The 22286-nt window shown below is 39.8% G+C and overlaps 1 long non-coding RNA gene across 2 annotated transcripts in view; it reads left to right on the top strand.

The window, feature by feature from the left end:
• The window catches only part of LINC00923 (long intergenic non-protein coding RNA 923), a 131814-nt gene extending 123516 nt beyond the window's left edge, over positions 1-8298 (top strand). For both annotated transcript variants that reach the window (NR_024173.1, NR_024172.1), the window contains one exon: positions 7431-8298. This is a non-coding gene — a long non-coding RNA (long intergenic non-protein coding RNA 923). The remainder of the gene's footprint in view (positions 1-7430) is intronic.
• Positions 8299-22286: the final 13988 nt, after the last annotated feature.

Here is a 22286-nt window from a genome sequence, read left to right as displayed (position 1 = left end):
GAGCTGAGCCATTTGGTAGAGGCAGTGCCTTACAGAGGAAAGGACTTTGCACATAGTGAACCTACTAAGAGAAACCAGGTCAGGGCATCTCTGTGGCCAATCCTGGGCAATCGTGCCAAAATCGAGAAATTTAAAAAGACTCATTGTTTCTATGTATCATAGAGTTTGCTGGAGAGGGATGAACACAGACTGTTTTGTGCAGTTTTGTATCCAATCTATTACTTTGTCCATGTTTAAAAAATTATTGATAGGGAGAGAGGGGTGTGTGTGTGTATGAGATTTGATACCTAGAATATTTAGCTTGTTTATGGATTGTAAAACCTATCAATCTGATCCTTGTAAAAACACAATAGGCTATTCAGATAATTTCAAAGAGTCTTGGACAGTAACAAGAATTATGGAAAAAATTGATTTTAGACATCAGCCCATTTACAACTGAAGTGTCAGAGGAGCTTGGAGATGTCCCTATAAGGCTGATGCATCCAAGAGTATTCGGGAACCTCCATCTCAGCCTCCGCGGCTTGTCTGGCCAAGCCTGCCTTCCCAGATCAATGCCTGGCTGAGAAATAGCTCTTGAAAGTTTGCCTCACAGGATGCATTCTCTCGGCCCGTTCAGTTTCAGTAAATCTCCCTCCTTGGGGGCTCACTCTCAACCACAGGAGGCCACAGTTGCTTTCAGTATGTGACAGGAGCCTGCTGACAATGGGACTAGGTGATCTCATTTAGATCTGCAAGCTGGTGTAAGCTTAATAAAATAATAAAATAAAATACAAACAGTTAAAATGCAACCTCAGCCTCATTGTCGCCATCATACCCCACAGAGAATAGCAGATCGAGCCAGGCCTAATGTCATCTGCGAGGCAGGTTCCCTCATACTGTCCTCTGAACGCATTGGGTTGACACGGCAGACTGCCTCCTGGCATCCTGCATGAAACTGAACCAGCTTGTGCCCAAAAGACCTTGAGTCCTGCCTTTGATTCTTATTGATCAAATACGCAGATTAAATCCCACATCACAAAGCAAGGCAAAACCCAAGCTTTCTCTGTCAACTTCTAGGAATCCCGGTGAAGCCCTTTCTGAATTATCTTCTTATGCATGAAGGAGAGCTGGAGTGCACATGTATTTCAGGAAGATATACATGGTGGGCAAGCAGATACGTAGGTCTGATAGCTCCCAGGCTCTGTGGCAGGAGGATGAGACAGATAAGAATGTTGTGCTTGTTACCTGTTGTCAAATTCAAACCCATGGTTAGGATTCATTTGGAGAGAAGAAAAGATTATTTTTGAAGTTGCTTCTTTGCAATCTGTAAGCATTCCTAAACAGGCAGGCTTCTGCAAACAGCTGCCTCAAAATGTTGTGTGTGTGTGTGTGTGTGTGTGTGTGTGTGTGTGTGTGTGTGTGTGTGTCCATTAATTCAGAATTACTCCAATTACAAGCTTTTGATGCTCTAAAACCCTCTCTCTAACCCAAAAGAGATGGAGAGCCCTCGGACCATCCAATCAGATCATTTTCCCTGCCGCCTGCAGCAGATGTAAGCAATTTACTTTTTTATTTCTGCATATTCAGTGTGAGCGGAGCTGTTGGAGACCTTTCACCCCAGAGCCTGCAGGATTCTAACCCTATCAAATTAAAGCATTTTGCTCACTTATTCCCAAACGCTTTGCTGGTGCTAAGCAGACATCCCGCTGCATAGCAATGGCGGGTGTTCGTGTCCACTCATAGCCCCAGCCTAATCAGAGGTTATTAAGGAAAATATACAGTGCTTTAATTTGATGAGATTGGTTATAGGTAGTGCAGTTAAAGGTCACACTCCTGCGTGTATCTCCCTCCGTCTCTGTAATATTTTCTTCTCGCTTGACAATCCTGAGCTGCAAACAATAGGCCAAGGCGACACATTTATTTTTGACATGCTGTGATGGGCTCAATAGGGATAAAGATGAATTATTTAAGGATTGCATAAACAAACATCCTGGGCCAGGTTTTGGTTACATCTTCCACTTTGTGCTCTGTGTATGCTGTTGCCTTAAAAGAACATGTTCAAGAAATGAGCCTCCTTTGGGCAGGAACGCATTTAGATGGAGGGCCCAGATAGGCTGCTGCCAGATGGCTGGGTCGCCTGCCTAACTCCTGTTGCTGGCTGTGCAGGGAGGGGAGGTGGCTCCCAGCTCCCAGGGAAAGGTGCCTCTGAAGGACTGATTTGCTCTTCTGACCCTGGAAACTTCTCCACCTGCTGTGAGCTAATTGAGCTGGCCTGTCCGCATCCATAGGAGTGGGTGGGGCCACTGGGGGCCCACAGTGGCTGTTTATTTGTGTCCATCGCCTCATCGAGAAGAAGCCAGGTAATGGAAGGTGGCCCAGTCTTTCCCAGGCAGAGAGAGAGAATTACCCAGCTCTCGCTGCTCTTTTGAGGGTTGATTTTCATACCAAGTTTTCTCTCTTTCCCAGAGAAGCCCTTTCTGATTTCAGCACATCCCAGCCTTGGGGAGGCACAGTCCCAAGATAAGAGTCCTGCTTCTTTGGGGTGCTTAGGCATTCTCATTTTCCCATTTCAGACACATCGTCGAAGGCACAGAGAGAGGCGTAGGAAGGAACAAGGGCAACTTCTAATCTTCTGTCAAACTTAACGGTTTTTGTGTATGTGTCCCTGTAATAGACCAACTGCAGGCTGATTTACCTAGAAATTTACATGAAAATTGCTTTATGCAGCTGTATGTAAAAATTCAAGCCGCACAGTGTCACTGTACCATGCAGGTCAAGGCACAGCCCGGGGTATTGTAGCCCAAAACAATTTGTTTTCAGTCCTGGGAGGAGGGGGAGGGATGCAGCAGGATGGGGGCCGAAGGAGGACACCGTGGGGGCTCTTCAGGACAGCACTGTGTTTCAGGGAGCAGCGAAGGCAGAGGGACATCCTGCCTCCTCCCTCTCTTCCCTGAATGTGCTCCCTGACTGGCATCTGTCTTTAATATCTTTTTTTTCCTTGAACCTTTAATACTTTAAAGGAATATTATAGCCGATTTATCATCTTAGTCCTCAAATATATTACCTAATGCAATACTAAATTATTTGAAAGTCTTCCCACTTGAACTGAGAAATACCAGGGATAAGACTGCTTAAGAAATGGTTGCTCTGTGCTCCTGGAGACCGGTTGACAATTCCACAAAAATCTTCTCTCCATATGTTGTTTTGTTTTCAATTTTCATATGCTTGAAATGTGGTAAGTTGGAGATATTAGAGAGCTAATAATAAAATAATAATATTAAAGTAGAGGACTTTGGAGCAATTTCTCATTGGGAGCTTGGGGGAAGGCGGGGTCAGCTGAGGGCAGCCTCCTAGGTCTGACTCAGGTCTAGAGGATGTTCCTTTCCTGCCTTCCTATTGGAAGAGCCACGGGACGCCAGGAAGTTGTGTGTGATTCTTCAGGAGCTCTTGTTGCATCTGCAGTTCGGCATGCAATGTGTTTCCCTCTGTGTGCAGGTGGCCCCGAAAAGGTGGCTCTGCAGCCTGCAGATCAGAGACCCTGTCAAAAATCTCTGCAAAGATGCAGGGATGCCTCCATGCACAAGAAAATTCAGCCTTTTCTCGGATTGCAGAGCCTATGGGCCTGGCAATGAACTTCCCAGATTTCTAAGGAAAAATCCCATGAGCTAAAAATGCCAGCAGCAACTTTTGAGTTCTACTTAATGCTTTATAAATTTGGGTATGTGTGCATATATCTGCATTCATCAAAATTCTTTATCATTGCTTTATGTTATTAAATGTTTTCATGAAGACAGTTAATATGATAACTGCCATTCTCTATAGTTACATGGCTGAGTGAGTGAATATCTTTATTTGGAACAATTTGTCACAACTGGGATCTGGGTGGTTCTGAGAATGCCTTAGAACTGGGTGGGATGGGGTGGCTGAGTGAGAGTGAGGGCAGCCTCTTGAATGGACGGATTTTGTCTCTTCATCTTTCTGATGACCCTGTCTCAGGACTTTCCCCCCCTTATTTCTGTTGATTCTCATTTAAAACAGATCCCTCTGGTATGTGTCACAATTTTGCTTTGCTTAGCTCCAGATTACATTTCCCCTGATACAAAGCACACCTAAAATAATCAAAGGACAAATGAAAGGCCCACTACCCATTCGTACATAACATGCAAACCAATTTTTAAAATTATTTGAGTTTCAGCCTTTTAATTTTAGGACCATAACTTTGCCAAGAGTGGTACTCTAAATTCTTGCCCTTATTTAGGAATTTATGAAACAATTAAGATAGGTTATTACCCTTCCTTGAAGGACAGAAGGCAAGCCATAGGTCAGCTGAGAATATGCTTTTTTGGCAAATATCTAAAGTGTTATTTTGACAGAATATTTTCTAATGTTGTAGGACCTTAAAATACAAACCTGGTTATTTGGGAATCCGTAGAGTATAAAGTATGAAAATATTTGATGATTTTCTTCTTATAAGCATTATAGTACAAGAAAAAATGGTTTTAGTATATGCTAAGTAATGCTGTTATTGGTAGACAGATCTTACAGGGCTAGGTAAAGAATTAAACTGACTTTGCAAGTTGTCAAGCTGATTACACAAATTAACTAGGGACAAATACTTAAATTACTTCTTCTATTGGCTTATCTCTTCAGTTGTATTCCAGAATATTTTTTGAAAATGGAATATTCCTTTAAATTGTCCTCAGATTGATGTCATTATAGTATCATCACCAGTCTCATAAAGTGGCTTGATTATTGTGCTTTAGTAGACAATGCAGGGTTATAAAAGCTGCATCTCCCGTCATGATTTCTCACATGAGTTTCACATCATTGAGCCCCTTCAGCTGTCACGTGCATCAGTGACTGCGTCATGTTATTGAACATAACCTGGAATCAGGAGAAACTGAATAGAGAAGTTTATCGAAATTTAGATGAATAATAATAACAAATTCCAAAAGGTTATTTCTAAACATTTCTAATAAAATATTTGAGTTACTCTTGGATATTTTATTGTCTATGTAGAAAACATGCTACATCTAGTTTCAAATAGATAATTTTACCTCCCTCAACCCTGCAAAGAAAAAAAATCCAAACAAACTGTGTTTGGAATTTAAATGTTAGAAGGTGCTTCAGTCTAATAAATATTTTCCTAATGCGTTAATTGTGATGCTTTCCTTGTGTGAACAGGTTACTTTTGAAGATGATGACTTTCAGCGTCATGAGCGTCATGCTGAGACGCTCTCTATGTAATTCTGAAAAGAGCCGCTAGGTGGGAGTGGTGCCAACAAGGGTAGTTCCGGTCTCTTAAATGAACTAGGTGGGATCCAGAGATTGTGTGATTTCCATCTATGAATATGGCTTCCCACAAAATAGAGCTATTTGTTAAAGCAATAAATAAAATATTCCATTAATTAAAAATTTCCAGTGTTTTATCTGAATCTAAAAAGAAGTACAATCTGAGAAGGAGAAAAAAAGCCATCTAGGTATGTACAAAGGAAGTGCCCATCCAAGACAAACTTCGGCTGTCTTAGTTGCTAATCATTTAGTCCTGCTAGGCTTATGTTACCATCAGGGATAACAATGAAAAGTTACTAAAGCACACATTTTTTACTCTGCTAATAAAAAAAGATTCCTTTTGTAGGCATCTATTGAGAAATTAAAAGAAAAAAATCAGAAAAAATGATATTCTAAGCCATGAAAAAGACCTCCCCAAAATTCCAAAATTTAACATGGGCTAAAGAAATTTTAAATTAACCTTTTCAGCAATTTAAATATACTATTGCAAATATCTAGCAGGCCTAGAAAGAAATTATGAATACAATTATTTTAAAAAGAAAAAAATGGAATACAACTCATAAAGACATTGGATGCTTCCAAAACAGTAGTAAAAAGCACATTCATAGCATTATTAAAGAAAAATAAAATGAAATGAGTTAATCATTATACTCAAGAAATTAGGAAAAAAACTGTAAATATAAAGAAGCAATATTGGTAGGGAATATAATTGACAAGTAAATGGAGAGGTACATCTAAGACACTATTTTTATAAGGAAAACAATTTCAAGACCTATGTCTGGAATTCTCCGTAAGATAATAAAATGGCTAGCTCAAATAAACAAAATTAGAAGTTAGAAATGATGAAACAACAAATATAAAGGAGATAGAAATTATAAATCCTCTAAATCTATGCCAGAATATTGAAGCACTCAGTAAAATAAATCATTTTCTTTTTTGGAAAATATAAAATACTGATATTAATTCCAGATGAAAAAATACTCTGAGTGCGCTAATACCATTTTTAAAAGCATAAATGAATTCTTGTAAATTTTAAAAGGCTAGAATACAAATAAATTTAATCAATATTTAAAATAATGCAGCATAGAGCTTATTCCAGGAATGCAAAAGGAATAAATTCAATCTCACATGCAATTGTTTTATAAAGTAGGGAATATACATCTTGAGTGACTAATACACTTATCAACAATACATCCCCTGTATTCACATAAGAATCAGAAACAAGACATGAATATTGATGATGTCCTTGTTATAATGGAGAATGTGATAAAAATTAAACAATCAAAAGATAAAATAACTGAACATTAATAAGATATTTTATTAAGGTGGCTGAATACAACAGAAATAAATATGAAACTCTCATATGTTTCCTATATACTGTATAAGCAATAAACATTTAGAAGTATAATGGAAACAACTAATTCAGAGGAGAGAATTAATTGAGGGACACATGAAATCCTGTGTTAATTAGGAGATATTTTCAAAAGACAGTATGGCTGTTGCAGTTCCATACTGATTTATTTACAGTTTTAACAAAGTCATCGAAATCCTAGTGTCATTGTTTTGGCACTTTTTTTTTGTTATTAGAAAGTTCAGTGGCTGAATGGAGGGTTGGAATAACCCCAACCCCTGAACAAAAAGACTAAGTAAGGAAGACCTGCCCTAGTAAATAGTAATTTTGTTAAAAGAAAACTGGACATAATTTAGGAAGGTACATTGGTATGAGCATTAGTAGAAGAGATCAATGAAAAAGAATAGAGCACCTTGAGCTAGACCCTCCAATGCAGATGTATTTCAGCAAATGTTTAAGGTGGCATCACAAATTAGTAATTTTTTTCCAAACAAATGAGGTTGAGACAATCGGTATTGACAAAAATGAAGATCACATCAATATATCATTTCAACAGCCCTGGAGGAGTGAGGAGTCCTCCTGAAGTGGCATCAAGGTAGGAATACAGAACCACTGTGCTTGAATTTATGGCAGAACACTTCACATCTGTACTTGCTGCAGATGTTGCAGGGGTCCAGGCTTCCCTGGCTACTGTGCACCCTGAATTCTCATCATCTGCAGTCTGTTTTGTGTGTACCCTAAAAGGACCTAGTCTACCACTCTTATTCTTTCCTTCAACCTTTGCTAATTTTTCTAATCTTGTTTTCAGCAAGAACTCTACATCTTCAACATTTTGTAGAGCATTCCCTGCGATGTGGAAAATTCTGCTGGGCTATTCCCTGAGGACACCTCTACCTTTCGTGTCCAGAATTGGTGGGTTCTTGGTCTCACTGACTTCAAGAATGAAGCCGCGGACCCTCGCAGTGAGTGTTACAGTTCTTAAAGGCGGTGTGTCCGGAGTTTGCTCCTTCTGATGTTCAGATGTGTTCGGAGTTTCTTCCTTCTGGTGGGTTCGTGGTCTCGCTGGCTCAGGAGTGAAGCTGCAGACCTTCGCAGTGAGTGTTACAGCTCTTAAGGTGGTGCGTCTGGAGTTGTTCCTTCCTCTCGGTGGGTTCGTGGTCTCGCTGGCTTCAGGAGTGAAGCTGCAGACCTTTGCGGTGAGTGTTACAGCTCATAAAGGCAGTGTGGACCCAAAGAGTGAGCAGCAGCAAGATTTATTGCAAAGAGCAAAAGAACAAAGCTTCCACAGTGTGGAAGGTGACCCGAGCGGGTTGCCACTGCCGGCTTGCAGCCTGCTTTTATTCCCTTATCTGGCCCCACCCACATCCTGCTGATTGGTCCATTTTACAGAGAGCCAATTGGTCTGTTTTACAGAGAGCTGATTGGTCCGTTTTGACAGAGTGCTGACTACCTCTTGAGAGTTTTCCAGGCTTCCTAAGGCTTTGGAGCTTTCCTGAGTCAGGGCCTTTGCACATGCTATGTCTTTTGCCAGAGAGGCTGATTGCTCAGCATTATGCATGCCTGGTTCCTTCCCATCATGTAGGTCTTCTGGTCAAGTACCCCCTCTTCAGAGAACGTTTCTCCCCCACCCTTCCCCTCCAGTGCGCACTGCCAAACCCTGCTCGAAACCACCCTGTTCTCTGTCCTATGGTCACTCAGTTGACATCACAATCCGAAATATTATTCATTTCCCTTTCTGGGAATAAACATCACAGGAATAATCAGAGTTGTAGAATGAGATTTGTATACAAGGCTGCCTATGTCTGTGTTTTTATAATGGCGAAATATTAGAATCAGCTTAAACATTGACAAATATGTGTAAGGCTCAGTAAATTACAGCATATCTTGAGGGAAGAGCATTAGTGCAAAGACATTAAAATTTTGTTGTTCACGAATGATTGTGGGGCACAGTGGCTCATGCCTATAATTAATCCCAGTACTTTGGGAGGCCAAGGTGGGTGGATCACTTGAAGCCAGGAGTTCAAGACCAGCCTGGCCAACATGGCGAAATTCCATCTCTAGTAAAAATACAAAAAAAAAAAAAAATTAGCCAGCTGTGGTGGTGCATGCCTGTGTTCCCAGCTACTTGGGAGGCTGAAGTCACAAGAATCACCTGAACCCGGGAGGTGGAGGTTGCAGTGAGCTGAGATAGCACCACTGCACACGAGCCTGGGAGATGGAGCGAGACTCTGCCTCAAAAAACTAAACAAAGCAAAACAAAACAAACTGTTGACTTATGAATGATTATTTGGATTTTTATTTTCAGTTTTCTGCACTACAAACAATCCCATATTGAACATCAATAGATATCTATTTATATCTATTTATCTAGTTACCTATCTATACATATATGGATGTAATGGGATATAATGACTAGTGTTTTCATTTTTGGTAGGATGATTCACAAAAGTGGAATTGTTATATCACATAATTAGGATCTTTAACATTTTAACACTTCACACTGCCTATTTCACTATAGTGTTGTCAACATTGATTGTTTTCAATCTTTTATTTATTTACCAATCTCTTATAACTTGAAATGGAATTTTACTTTTTAATTTGCAGTTCTATGACTATTAGTAAATGTCAGTAACTTAAAAAATTTCCATCTCCTAAAATTCCTTTCTTGTGTGTTTTTCTTTCTTCTGCATCCAAGGGTAGGACTGAGGAAACAGGAGAGAGAGGCTTCCAAATTGGTCCAATGACAGCCTCACTAACTGAAGTTATTTACTCATCATTATTTTCATAATAGCTAAAATGTGCATAACAATTTTCTGTTTATAAAATACTTTCATATCCATCATCAAATTTAATATGGGGTACAAACCATGCACAAGACGGTCTGTAAAGCACAAAAGTAGCTCATTATGCATAAATATAAAGTGCTTTTTACTACTCTGAAGATTCCCAAGAGAGAATGTGTTCTTATTCCCCATTGCTTCTTCTAATACTGAGTTGGGAGGAGCCATGAGTTGGATATGTTAATTTTTATGTTTGTGGTCCTGCTACATCCTCAATCTTCCATTGTATAGTACCTTAAAGATGCCCATTCTTGATACCAAGTACTATTTGGGGATGCATTTAAATTTTCTGTGTGTGCCCTAAAGCTTGGGAAAAGCATAACAGCTAAACGTGGCAATTTCCTGCTTACTTTAAAACTCTGCCTTAAAATGTTGCCAGTCTGGGGCTGTGCAGAGAGAGAAGGGGCAGCAGCCTAAACACAAGAGAAAGGCAAGCTCTGTTTAACTCGATGTTTGCTCACTATGGCATGGCTGATGCTGCCTGGAAAAAATACTGTGAGCCCATCATTTCCACCAAGGGACCAGGGCATGGTTTGGCATACCTATGCCACGATGCATCCACAAGGCCAAATTAAGAGAGGATGGCTCTCTGGGTCTAGTTTAAGGAGAAAAGAGCCCTCTGCAAACAAAACCTACCTCTGAAAAGGCTCCACGGGACACAACATCTAAAGGTATTTGCCACGGTCTGTATATTGAAAGTCAAATAGCTCTCATTCAGGAGCAAAGCCCATCTTCCCTTTTTATGTCTTCAGCACTTATTGACAAAAGCAAAGTTGAGAATGGCAAAGAGGGATTGTTCTGCTGTGGCTTTCATACAGAGGAGGCACTGGCTGTAAAGACAGGGCGTAATGATCCATCCCTCTTGGGAGGGATTGTGGACGGATCAATAAAATGCAGACATTGATACAGAACAGGCACATGGTATTCCTCACTCCCACATCCTCTTTCCTGGGGGCACTCAAAGGCTATTGACTTTGGGGATATTGTCATGAGCTGGGGCCAAGGTGACATATGGTGGTTTCTCTTCCTTCTGCCTGCTCCGCCATCTTGGTCGTAAATGGAGGATAATAGTACTAGAGAATAGGGAAGATAAGGGGTCTATAGGGCCACCATGTCTACCAAGTCCAGGAGGTGCTGTTTACAGGCTGCAATGTGAATGACACCCTCAGGGGCTGGGTAACACCCTATGGCTTGGACTCTTGAGTGACCTTTTCTTGTATCAATGTCAGTCAGCATGCTATTGATCATCCTCTTCAACTCCCAAAGCATCCATCTTCTTTGGTGAGGATATAGAGCATTGCCCCATGGCTGCTCTGGTCACACTGTTCTTGCCCATCGATCCACATTGAAGGACACACTCCTCACTTCAAACCATTTCACATTCTCTTCAGGTTTCATCAGCAATGAGAACTTAATTGAGGGAAACTAGATCTCCACAATCCTACATTGGAATATAGAAAAGTACAAGGACATGCACGGCACTTTGAAGGCTTTTAAAACACGCAATGCCAGACTTCGGTGTGCCACATGGACTAATGCTTCACATTTGCATGCCTACACATTTTATCCTGTGAACTTTATCTTACCTGCTTAATAAGTTGTTCAGTGACTTTAAATAACTACTGAATTAAAAAATCTATAAGGTTACCCTGGGTTCAGGTAGTCATTTGCATTGAGGCAGTAGAGAGAGGCCAGGCTGGGATGAGCTGGTTAGGAACTAAACTCACAGGGGCTCCGCTCCTAAGAGGATGAGCTAGACCTATGTGACTTCCTCCTTGCAAAGGGGAGGTGACTCTGGCTGGCCTGATCTTTCAAAGGATGCTTTTATAGCCTTTGTTCTGATCATCCAAATGGATTAAAAAATTACAGTCATTTTAACTAGGTGGGTCTTTCTCATTTATTATTCATGTTCCGAGATCCATTTCTGATGCTTAAGAATAATGCAACCCTCGTCAGAGGCAGCAGACCTGACACGGGATCCTGGGTCTAACATAACTAGGCTGTGGAACCTAGGCAACTTATTTAATATCTTTGAGCCACATTTCCCACGCCAGTAATGAGGGATTAATTGGATGTAAGGGGTTGTTTTGTGATATTAGGTAAACTATGCCATACAAGAATACCTACATAATTCCTGGTTCACTTTAGGTGCTCAGTGGAGATCAATTAAAGCTGAATCTGGCTGTGACTAAGAATGCAGGAGGAAGTCGGTATCTGGTGAGTGCAAAGGGCCTAGGGTCATGTACAATTAATTACTCCATTATTCCTCAGTTGTCCCCAATGCTCTCCAACTGATGCACCCACCCTCACTCTTCCTGCTCAAATGGTATTAACCCACTTTAGATGTTTATTTTATTCTTCAAGATCATCTTTCCACAAATATTAGATGCCTACTAAGTTCTATGTGTTCAAAGTAGTTGAAAGTGATACAGAAGATTTAGAGATGAATTAGAAATTGATTGAAGACATGCCCATGTATGTTCATTGCAGCAATATTCACAATAGCAAAGACATGGAATCCATGTAAATGCCCACTAATGGTAGACTGGATAAAGAAAATGTGGTACATATACACCATGCAGCCATAAAAAAGAACAAGATCATGTCCTTTGCAGCAACATGGATGGAGTTGGAGGCCCATTATTTTAAGTGAACTAACAGTAACAGAAAGCCAAATATCACATAGTCTCACTTCTAAGGGGGAGCTAAACATTGAGTACATATGGACATGAATAAGGGAAAAACAGACACCAGGGCCTACTTGAGGGTGGAGGGTGGGAGGAGGGTGAAGATCAAAATCCACCTATGGAATACTGTACTTATTACCTGGGTGACTAAATAATTTGTACACCAAATCCTCATGACACAAGTTTACTTATATAACAAATCTACACGTGTACCCCAGAACCCAAAATAAAAGTAAAACAAAAGACAACAACAACAAAACAAACAAAGAAATTGACTGAAGAATTTATATTAAATGGGTTACCCGTGAATAAAAATGCATTATGGTATTGAGGTTGCTTATGCTGCTGATGGTGATGGCAGTGAGGGAGAAGTGAGTTTTAGTTTCCTTGGGCCACATCTTTCTAGGGATAAAGCCAGTTGTTCTCATTCATCTTTACATTGCCAGCCTCTATTATAGAGGTCTAGAATCCAAGTCAAATGACTGAGTGTATAAATGAATAACCTCTGCCCAGCAACTGCTGGGTTTACCACAGTGCCCGCACTCACACACACTTGAACATTTCTCATTTGAAACCCTTTGAAGAACTGCTTGTTTCCATTCTGTTCTTTAAAGAGGTTCTTTTACAAATGAAAAACAGTATAAAGCTAAAATTACAGTACAACACATGCTGAAACTTTCCTGAAATGGCAAAGATCACAAATCCAACAACTGCAGTAGAAAAGCAAAAGAGGAGGTGAAGGCAGCAGCTAATCAGGAGGCAGAGAGTGGAGATCTGATGGAGTTTCTACAAAGCTTTCTGTGCCAGAGACTCCTTCCAAGAGCAACCTCAGGCCTGCCTCCCTACTATGAAGGAAGCATTCAGAGCTACATGCACTTCAGAGCATGAGATGGATGTTTTAACATTGTGATGAGAAATTCTCTTTCTCTCTGTTCCAGTTTTTGATACCATGGGAAAAAGCCCTCTGGTCCTTGCTCTTATCCAGAGATGCTTTCAAGAAACAATAGAAGTTTATTTCCTATCATGGGGGCATTAGCATCACTTTGTCTTGTCTGTTGAGTAAGGCCTGAGTATGCCAACACCTGGAAAGCCTCAGGAAGGCCTATGTGGGCTTTGTGTCCCTTAACCCTGAGGATTCTTTGCTTCTGAGATATGAGCAAGAAGGAATTGCTGCTTAGTAACTTCAGTGTTATCATTATACCTCGACCACTGAGTTCTCCATCTCCTGATGGGAAACTGTTGTCTTACTTATTAACCTCTCTCCACAGTATCAGGAACCAGAAAGGGATCATTATTCAAGCTCTTCTAATTTAGAAATGCCCCATGTTTTTGATCATCTGAAATTTCTTTTTTTAAAAGACAATTGGTGAATGATGTTAGCCCAAGCTCCGTGGCCCAAGTACCAAGTACTCAGTATCCTTTGTGAGTGTTTGCTTCTTACAGTATGCTTTTATATGCATAATCTTACTTGAGATTTAGCACTCTTTCGAGGCAGGTGGAGAGGGACTGTTATCCTTATTTTATTGCCAAAGAGGGAATTGCCCAAAGAAGTCATTTGATCCACCAACAAGAATCCCAGCTCTCATAGAAATAGAGTTGGGGCATAAATCCAGGTTATCTATGATTTCTAGTCCAACGATCTGTATTACATGTAAGATTAGTTCTTTTCCTCTAGAGATTCTGAGTAGAAAGAACTAACCAATACTGAAAATATGTCTTCACTAGGACATTTTCCAGTCCTCACTTGTACTGTTGAATATTGATTTGTTTCTCTATCTCCTTATAAAAGTCACCCAGATATTTGCTGACTCTTATTTTCCTAAGATACCACCACAGCAAATAGATTAGCCAACCAACAGTTCCATACTGTTAAGTATGTTCTCCTTGGAAATGTTAAGAAACGAAGCTTGAATGGGATGAAGCATTGGGAAGTGAGGGCTGACCCCCTTCCTCCTCATGGCTGGGAGCAGGTTAACGCTGGCCTTTGGCAGAGGAAACAAGCCTCCATGGCCCCCACAAAGCCTTCCAGCTACATTGGCCTTTGCTCTGTGAATTCTGCCCTCTTTTTTACAATAGGACATTTTTAAAACAAAGCCACCATTTGTGAAAGGTCACCTGCCAAGAAGAGCAGAGAGTATTAGTGAAAATGACAGGAAGAAGATAAACAAACTGGAAAACATCTGTCTCCAGTGTTTACCCAGGCTGGCAATTTTGGAATAATGGCCTATAGGGCTGATAGCTAGAGATGCTGGAAGGTGAGGTTCCCTGCCCTCTTCTCCCTACCCCCAGACATTAAGGGGACTTTTTAGAGTCTGGCTTACTTACTGATGGTTCCTGTCAACGGTTCTATTATTTATATATGCTGCTATCTAGTTTTAATACTTAAAAGGGACCATGCTTGGAAAATATATTAGCAACTTGTAAATTATAATAAAATTTCAAAGTAGTAAACTTGGTACAGGGGCTAGGAGAGGAAGCATTGCTTTCCCCAACTACTGGTGTATTCCACAGTTTATTTATTTGTTGAAGGGCTGGTCATTCCTGTTTAAGGAACAGGGAATCTGGAAGAACAGAGCTCAGCCTGTCCACCTACCAAAGCCCAAGGCACACTTGTTTCATGGCCCTGTCTGGGTTTTTCCCAATCTCTTTCTAATAGTTCTTGACTAACTTTATCTCATTGCAAATGTCCTTGTTTTGGGGGACACATCTGAAACCCTTAAAATGGAATGAATGGTGTGAATATAGCTTGACTGGATTATAACTCAATCTACCAGTGACAGTCACAAAGAACAAGGAACTAGCAATGTTTTAGGTGGCCATTTATAGGAAATGTGCCCAGAGCACATGAGGGCCCAGAGTCCCCTGGAGAGGATATACATGCTCAGTGATCCCGTCTTGAGCTTATTGGAGATTATGATTTACTCAGATATTATTAGGTGAATCTTATGGCAGCATCTATCATGAGAGACAAACTTCCTCTAGATTTACCATAAGGTTCTGGACTTTATCTTTGAAATCAATATCATAAGATATTAATGTTTCTATATAGGTCAGTGCCAAAGATTTGCAGTGTGGCACTACTAAAACTTATTCATTTATAATAGCAGTAAGGATAATTCCTGGAAATTTTCACGCTTGCAAGAGTAGCTGAAGGCCCTCCCGTTGTTAAAAAATGTGGCTTATTAGAATAGTGATATGCATATCCTGGGGGCTAAATCATTTTCCTTGAAATGAAGCAATTCTAACAATTAGATCTTGATGAATAGTTGCCTATAACACTGGTAGCAATTCTGTCTCCTGCACCAAACTTAGGAACTAAATTCTACTTAATAACTGTTAGAACTTTTTAGGATTTTGTGAAAGAGCTTAATAATATGTTATTCCTTTTGGCCGTATAATTTTAGTTTTTAAAATATGTATTTTCTATGTATGTATATGCACTCATGTATAAATGAAAATATAGGTATATTATATGTATATATATATATATATATATATATATTTGAGAATCCAATCCCTCAAACATATACACATACACACATACAGCTCTTAGAAAGCCGTTTGTCATATAAACTTTTCTTTGTTCTTTCAAAGTTTTATCCTATACTAGTTGAAACTTGGCTTGGGGTGGTCTTTACACTGATGTCTGTTTATACTTCTGTATTACCAATGCACTGGGATCTTGTCAAACACATGCATTATCTTTCATGAAGGAAGTGTAGAAGATGGTTAAAAACACTTGGTTTGGGGTGAAGTTAACCTGGTTCAAATCTTGGTTCTGCCATTTACAGGCTACATGATTTTAGAGAAATCAGATAACGCTTCTGACCTCCGTTTGCTTCTCTGTGAATTGGCGTGATAACATCTACCATAGGGATGTTCACGTCTGTGGATGTCCAAGAGGCTGCTCAGGGCATCATCTGAAGCAAAGTGCTAAATAATCATGGCTATTGTTATCACTTCTGTAATTATAACAACAATTCATCAATCATATTGCTTTTTTCAATTTATAATAGATTACCAATAATATTTTGTGCTCTCAGGAAGTTAGAATAGTATAGTGGAAAGTAAAAGGATCTGTTGTTTGAAAGCCTGATGAGTCTTATCTTCCAAACGATGAAATGTGAACGATAATGGTCCAATGTCTGATGTTTGTCTTGCCCTGCCCCTTTACAGTGTGGCCGTGAAGACAACTGTAAGTAAAGAAATAATCTAGGTAAATATTCTTCATAAATTGTAAAATGATCTCCAAAAGTTGCTTATTGTTCTTGCTGTACCTCCTTTTACTGATATGTTAGGTGAGGTGAATTTACTTTGCATCCAGCTCCGTAAGTTATCAAATTTTGGCTATACATTCAGATGGAATACTTAAAGTTCCTTACAATAAAATTACTTTTTGGTAATGACCCCTTACAGCAATGTTGTCATAAAGTTTCAGTGAGGACATTTTTGTGGTACACAGCAATTAATAATTTCTGTCAACTCAATGAGTTTTTAGGAAGTCAGACACTTCAATATATGGCACAGATAGCATCTTTAAATAGGTATTTTTTGGAGGGGGATCTTTTTGTACATTTACCATCAAAATCCCTGGATTAGGATCCCAGAGACTCATGTAGTTTGGGCTCTACCTCTTAACAGCTTATGATCTAAAGCAAAATGCTTTACCTGCCATGCCGTGGGTTCTTCCACTTCAGATAGTGGGGGTGTCGGGAGCTAGCTGAATTAGATGTTCTTTTTTCTAAGACCTCCTGCAGATCAAAAACCAAATAATTTAGTGAAGACTGAGGTGAGTATACTTAGGTACATGTGAATGTATGTGTATATGAACAACTTTGCTTATTCATATATTTTCTCAGTAGCTAGAAGGGAGTCTCTCATTTTGAGAGAGGGAGTCACTGAAAAAAATGTATTTGATATACATTTGAAAAATTAAAATTAAGGCCAGATTATGCCAATGTTTTTTTTTTAAAAAAATACAACCCTTTGGCTAACTCTCCCATATCCAAATCTGACTCTTAAAATGCAAAGACTTGCTTTAAATCATAACTCTCTTAATTAGGGTCATTGCTACAAATGAAAACCGATTTGGGTGCTCATCTAATAAGAAAATGCCAGTTACGGTATATTATCAACCCCGACTTGCCAGGCATTGAATTTCCTGATATGGTCTGCTGGGAACCTTAAATGAACAAGAGCAATTATAAACCTAAAGTCTGCAGCCATTTGTTGGCATTATCTCAGGATAATTTCCCTGAAACATTCATGATGAAATGCAAAGGTAGATAATTTAAAAATCCATTTAAAATAGCTGTGGTATAATTTAAGCTAAGGTCTTTCTCTATAGTGGACATTATACTGAGACTGTGCATTTTAAAATGGATCCTTTACAAATGATCTTTTCTTAGATATCATTGCCCTGGGAAGCATTTTAAACAAGTTTAAATAATTTTCTTAACTATGGTGTGAGTAAAACGAAAACATTTGTACTATTTGTTTTCTATTTAAATGAAGAAAATCAAAAGAAGTTCACCTTGAAGGAAGTCTGCCCAAAGCTCATTATTATCCAGAGGAAAAAGGAAAAAAATGAACAAGAACATCTCTACCTTCTTCTCTCCTGGCTTTTACACAGTGTTAATCTTCACGTTCTTTAGGTGACTTGAGTAGCAAAAAGTAAAGATGTGGTTATTCCGTAGACATATAAGTATGGTGAATATGTAGAGTGAAAAATGGATTTGATTTTTTCTTTAATATTTCCTCTGTCAAATACTTTCTCCTCTGTCAAATAGGTCCCATGAAAAATGTAAGCAAAATAAAACAAAAGCGAGTCTTACATTAGGAAAATGGCTAAGATGGTAGATAGATAGATACACACATACATACATACACACATATATGCATGTTGAAATTGCAGTGCCAGATCTGTAACTTTTCTTTTTATCTCTCTATCTCTCCACCCACCTCTCTTTAATTTCTTTTCTTAAGTTCTTGAGCAGGGACTAAATATCAAAATTGAGGCTCAATACTAGCCCAATTTTGTTGTTGATTTCTCAACTCAGAAAATATGGGTTTGTAATGGAAGTTCTGACACAAGCTTTGCTCTAATAACCTATAAGATGGACCAATAAACTACAGCAATAGCCTATTACCAAGAACCATAACTGCTCAGAGAACAGAGCAAAATTTATTTTGCTCTTTATCTTGCTTGAGGTCTCTAGCATAACCCAGGTGATTTGGGACTTTTCTTCATAATGCAGGGAAATCTCATGCTTAGCCCAGAGAGAAGCCCTAGATTCTGAGAGAAGGTTTCTTCCCCTAACATCCCATTCGTATGACCTCACAGTGAGATTTAACTCATCTCTGAAGAAATTTAAATTGGGATAATATAGAAAAGGCCTATAGATTGTTATTTATGAATGATTTTGAAGAGAACCTCTTGAGAGATTACTAACAATGCTTTTCATTTCTTGGTCTTCTATGTCTTTTTCTTCACCCTGGTGCTGCTTGGATGGATTACTTTAAAAGTCATGCAATAGTCATCTTTCAGAAATTTATTTTTAGCAGCCTCTAATTTCTTCAAGTTCCAAGTCATATCTCAGCCATAATATTTCAATCACTTAATAATGACAACTTGCCGGGAATGGTCATTTCATGTTGCCCACAGTAGAACAATGAATAGCGGCTGGACCTGCTGCCTCCCAGGCCCACATTCTGACCCTTAAATTCATTCTTCTTCCATATATCACATGTCTCTTGAGTGCAGAGTCACTGCTATTCACATAATAAGGCTCATAGTTTCTGGCGCTGAACTCAGAGTCTTACATTTTTAAGATGGGCTTTCAGAAAGATGGATGCAAACAATTTCAGATTTGAGAAAATGATCCCTGGGTGACTGCCCCAGACACTGTGAATCTCCTACCTTCTTCAGATTGTAGTGGCTTTGATCATGATTCAGCCTAGAGATTTTTGTCTCTTGTGTTTGGCCCGCTAAGGATTTAATTTCTCATTTGCCTTACCAGAATCTGGCATTGATGATTTTCCCTGAACCATTCTCTGCCTTACAGTTCCATCGTGACATCCAAGCTCCTGCTCTCCCTGGGTTGTCACATTTACGTTTCTGAACACCTTCCTTTTTTCTAATCCCCAAAAAACACCTTGGTCACATCACTCCATCTCAGTAAAGGGTGATTTTAGGGTTGGAATAAAACTGTTTTTTACCAAAAGCTGGGCAAACTGTGCATCTACATGAAAAGCAAACTCACAGACCAAAAGTATAACTCTATCAGAAAATGAAACTCAGGGGAGTTGTGTATGCATAGTTACGAATTATATACTAGAAAAGAAGAATAAAATATCAAGGAGTAAGAAGGAAACAGTGGTGAGTCAATACATCCCGTACAAAGATCTTTCTCTACTACTTTGTCGTCTTTCTCTCAGCTTGTTGGTTGTTACAGTAAATAATTAGAGGCAAAGCAATTCTGATCCATTTTATGTGAACATTGTTAAAGGAAATAAAGGTGGAGGCAGACAAACATAAAAACTACTAAGAAACCAAGAACAGAAATGGCTAATTATAGAGCTGCTATTAAAATGCGTTTTTCCCTTTCTTGAAACAGAATTTTTGTTGGATAATTAACAGACCTACAGGGCCCATTACATTCTCAGACTCTGAAGGTATTGATCCTTCTGTCTCTTGCTGCCACATTTGTTCTTTCTGGGTCTTCTTCCCCTGAGAATTTTGCTGATTTCATAATTGGAGGGTGGAGTGAAGGCTGGGGAAGTTACCAGAGATGACCCGCTGTGTGTGTGGTTGGTGGGGGTGCTGGGGGTTGCCGCTCTCTCCTCCATGCAATTTCCCTGCTTTATTTTATTTTACTTTTATTCTTTGGTGATTTTCACACTTGAAAGGTTCTACGTCAGGATATTGTTTTTAAAAAGCAAAAACATTCAGATGTACAAAATACATATACTTAAATTCAAACACATATTCTATCACTGGGGATATATTTCTCCTGTACAGCAAATGGTTCCATTTAAGCCAGAGCCCTCTGTGTTTGGTCATTTAAAAGAAATGGAGAGCAAACAATTTTTACTATGCTGAACTCAATTCACAGCCAGAAGCTCTTGGCTGCTGGTGAATTTAATAATGAGATAGCTCATGCCATTCCATAAAGAGATTTTGCTTTGAGCAGAGACTTCCCTGCGAAGACCTTCTTCTTGCTTCTCCTTCAGGACCCAGGATAGAGCCAAGTGGACTTCTGGGAGTATTTTTCTGGGCTGTGAATGGGGGAGCAAGGGAGAGGCAGGCTTAGTTTTGAAGGCTTCTTGGAAGCAAGCTAGGTGCCAATTCATCTTAGGGCAGTCTTGTCAAAGGAGAATGGGGTCTTCTATGAATATTGCTTTTACTGGCAACAAGCAGTTTATGAGGCTCCTGACTCCATCCAGAGTTTTCCATTAGCAAATAGTTCCCACGAATGCTCTGACCAGTATAAAAACCACACCAAGCCATCTGATCATAGGTAAGGTGCAGTCATGCAAGCCAAAATTCAAGAAGTAGACATGGAGAAAATGTAGGACTTCTTTTCTTTTTATAACCTCCTAAAATTAGATTTTTTAGAAAGAGACCTAATTTTAATAGTAGAAGACTCATTTTAGTACTAAAGAGCAGTTCCAGATTGAATATACAGAGTGAAAGGATTTTTCTTTAAACTTCTGTATGTTCTTGAATGTGGATCTTACACACAGTAGGACCTCAGTAAGTTTTTGCTGGCTGATCATAAATTACATTCTCTGGGAGTCAGTGAAATAAGGAAGGAAAAAGAGAAGGGGATTTAGTGTTTAATTTCTCTGCTGTATTCTACTCTTGCGTATCTTCTGCAAAGAGTTGAGACTGTGGTATTGGGAAATTGGTGATGTGGACAGGCCCTTATTCCTTTATATGGTCGGATTAACAAAACAGATAGATGAGGGAGGAGGAAGCAGGTGTCCGTTACGGGAGAATAAGGTTAGATCTATTCTGACAACCTGGCAATGGAAAGCCTTTTAATTCAGAGGGAGCCATGAAATCCCACGATCTAACTGAAGGTAGTCCTTGAATGCTAAGAATTCACGCAGGGTGTAAGTTCCCTTGTGGGTTCACCCTTTCGGGATGTCCCTGGCCATTCTGGTTCGCAGCAGATCAGAGTAGACTGCTGATCTGACATTCTCATGTGTCGCCTGCCTGTGTCGCAGCTGTAACCTTAACACCAGGGCCTGAGATTTATTTCTGACATCTGGCACAAGTCATCAAGACAATACAGCCCAAAGTTGAAAGGCAGCAAGTGTGCCTATGGCTGTCACTCAAACCCTGTCTATGTGCTGGGCTCCCCACACCCTTGATTAACCAGCCTCGTTAGAATGTAATCTGAATGTCCTTATCTCTTCGGCCCTGTCTGTGGCTTGTTTCATTTTCTTTTTTCTTTTTGAGGCCAAAAGCCTGAACAATAATTTGATTCTTTATGTTCGGCAGTACTTTTAATGGTCATTTCTGAAGTTTAGCTGGTTCATAACCTCTGTAATCACAAGGCTTGGCATTTTTCTTCCTGAAGAATCTAAGGGAACAGGCAGGAATCTGTCCACATTCTGAGCCCCGGCCGTGCCTCCTTTCATCCTTCTCTCTCCCACACATGCCCTCGTGGCTCCGCCACTCACCCCCCAATGCAGGTCTGTCAGTGGCAGCGAGAGGTCGACATCAAAGCTCGTTCCCAGCCAGCGGCTCGCCTCTAATGCTGGCATTACAGAGAGACACGGAGAGTGAGTGTGAGAGAGAGAGAGGGGCCAAGGGAGAGAGTGAGGGAGAAGTACTGGATCGCTTGAATGGCCTCTCACACAGAAGGAGCCTGAAGAATAGAACAAAACCCTCCATTCTCCCGCTCTTTGTAAGACTCTGGGGCAGAATGGGCATGTGTGGTGCACAGCCGGGTTTGAACTGCATTAGCACTCTTTCAGTTTACAAACAAGAGGCCTAATTTAGAAGAAAAATCTCCTATCTGATTATTTCTTTGTACTCATCCATGTGGAAAAAATGTCTGTTCAGGGTGGGGGTGGTATTGAGGTGGCTTATTAATTCTTGAGGCTGAATGATGATTGTGAAGGGCA

This window comes from Homo sapiens, chromosome 15 (assembly GCF_000001405.40).
Source record: "Homo sapiens chromosome 15, GRCh38.p14 Primary Assembly".
In the NCBI taxonomy this organism is placed as follows: domain Eukaryota; kingdom Metazoa; phylum Chordata; class Mammalia; order Primates; family Hominidae; genus Homo; species Homo sapiens.
The sequence above is the reverse complement of the archived record's forward strand: the minus strand, read 5'-3'. Positions and strand labels throughout refer to the sequence as shown.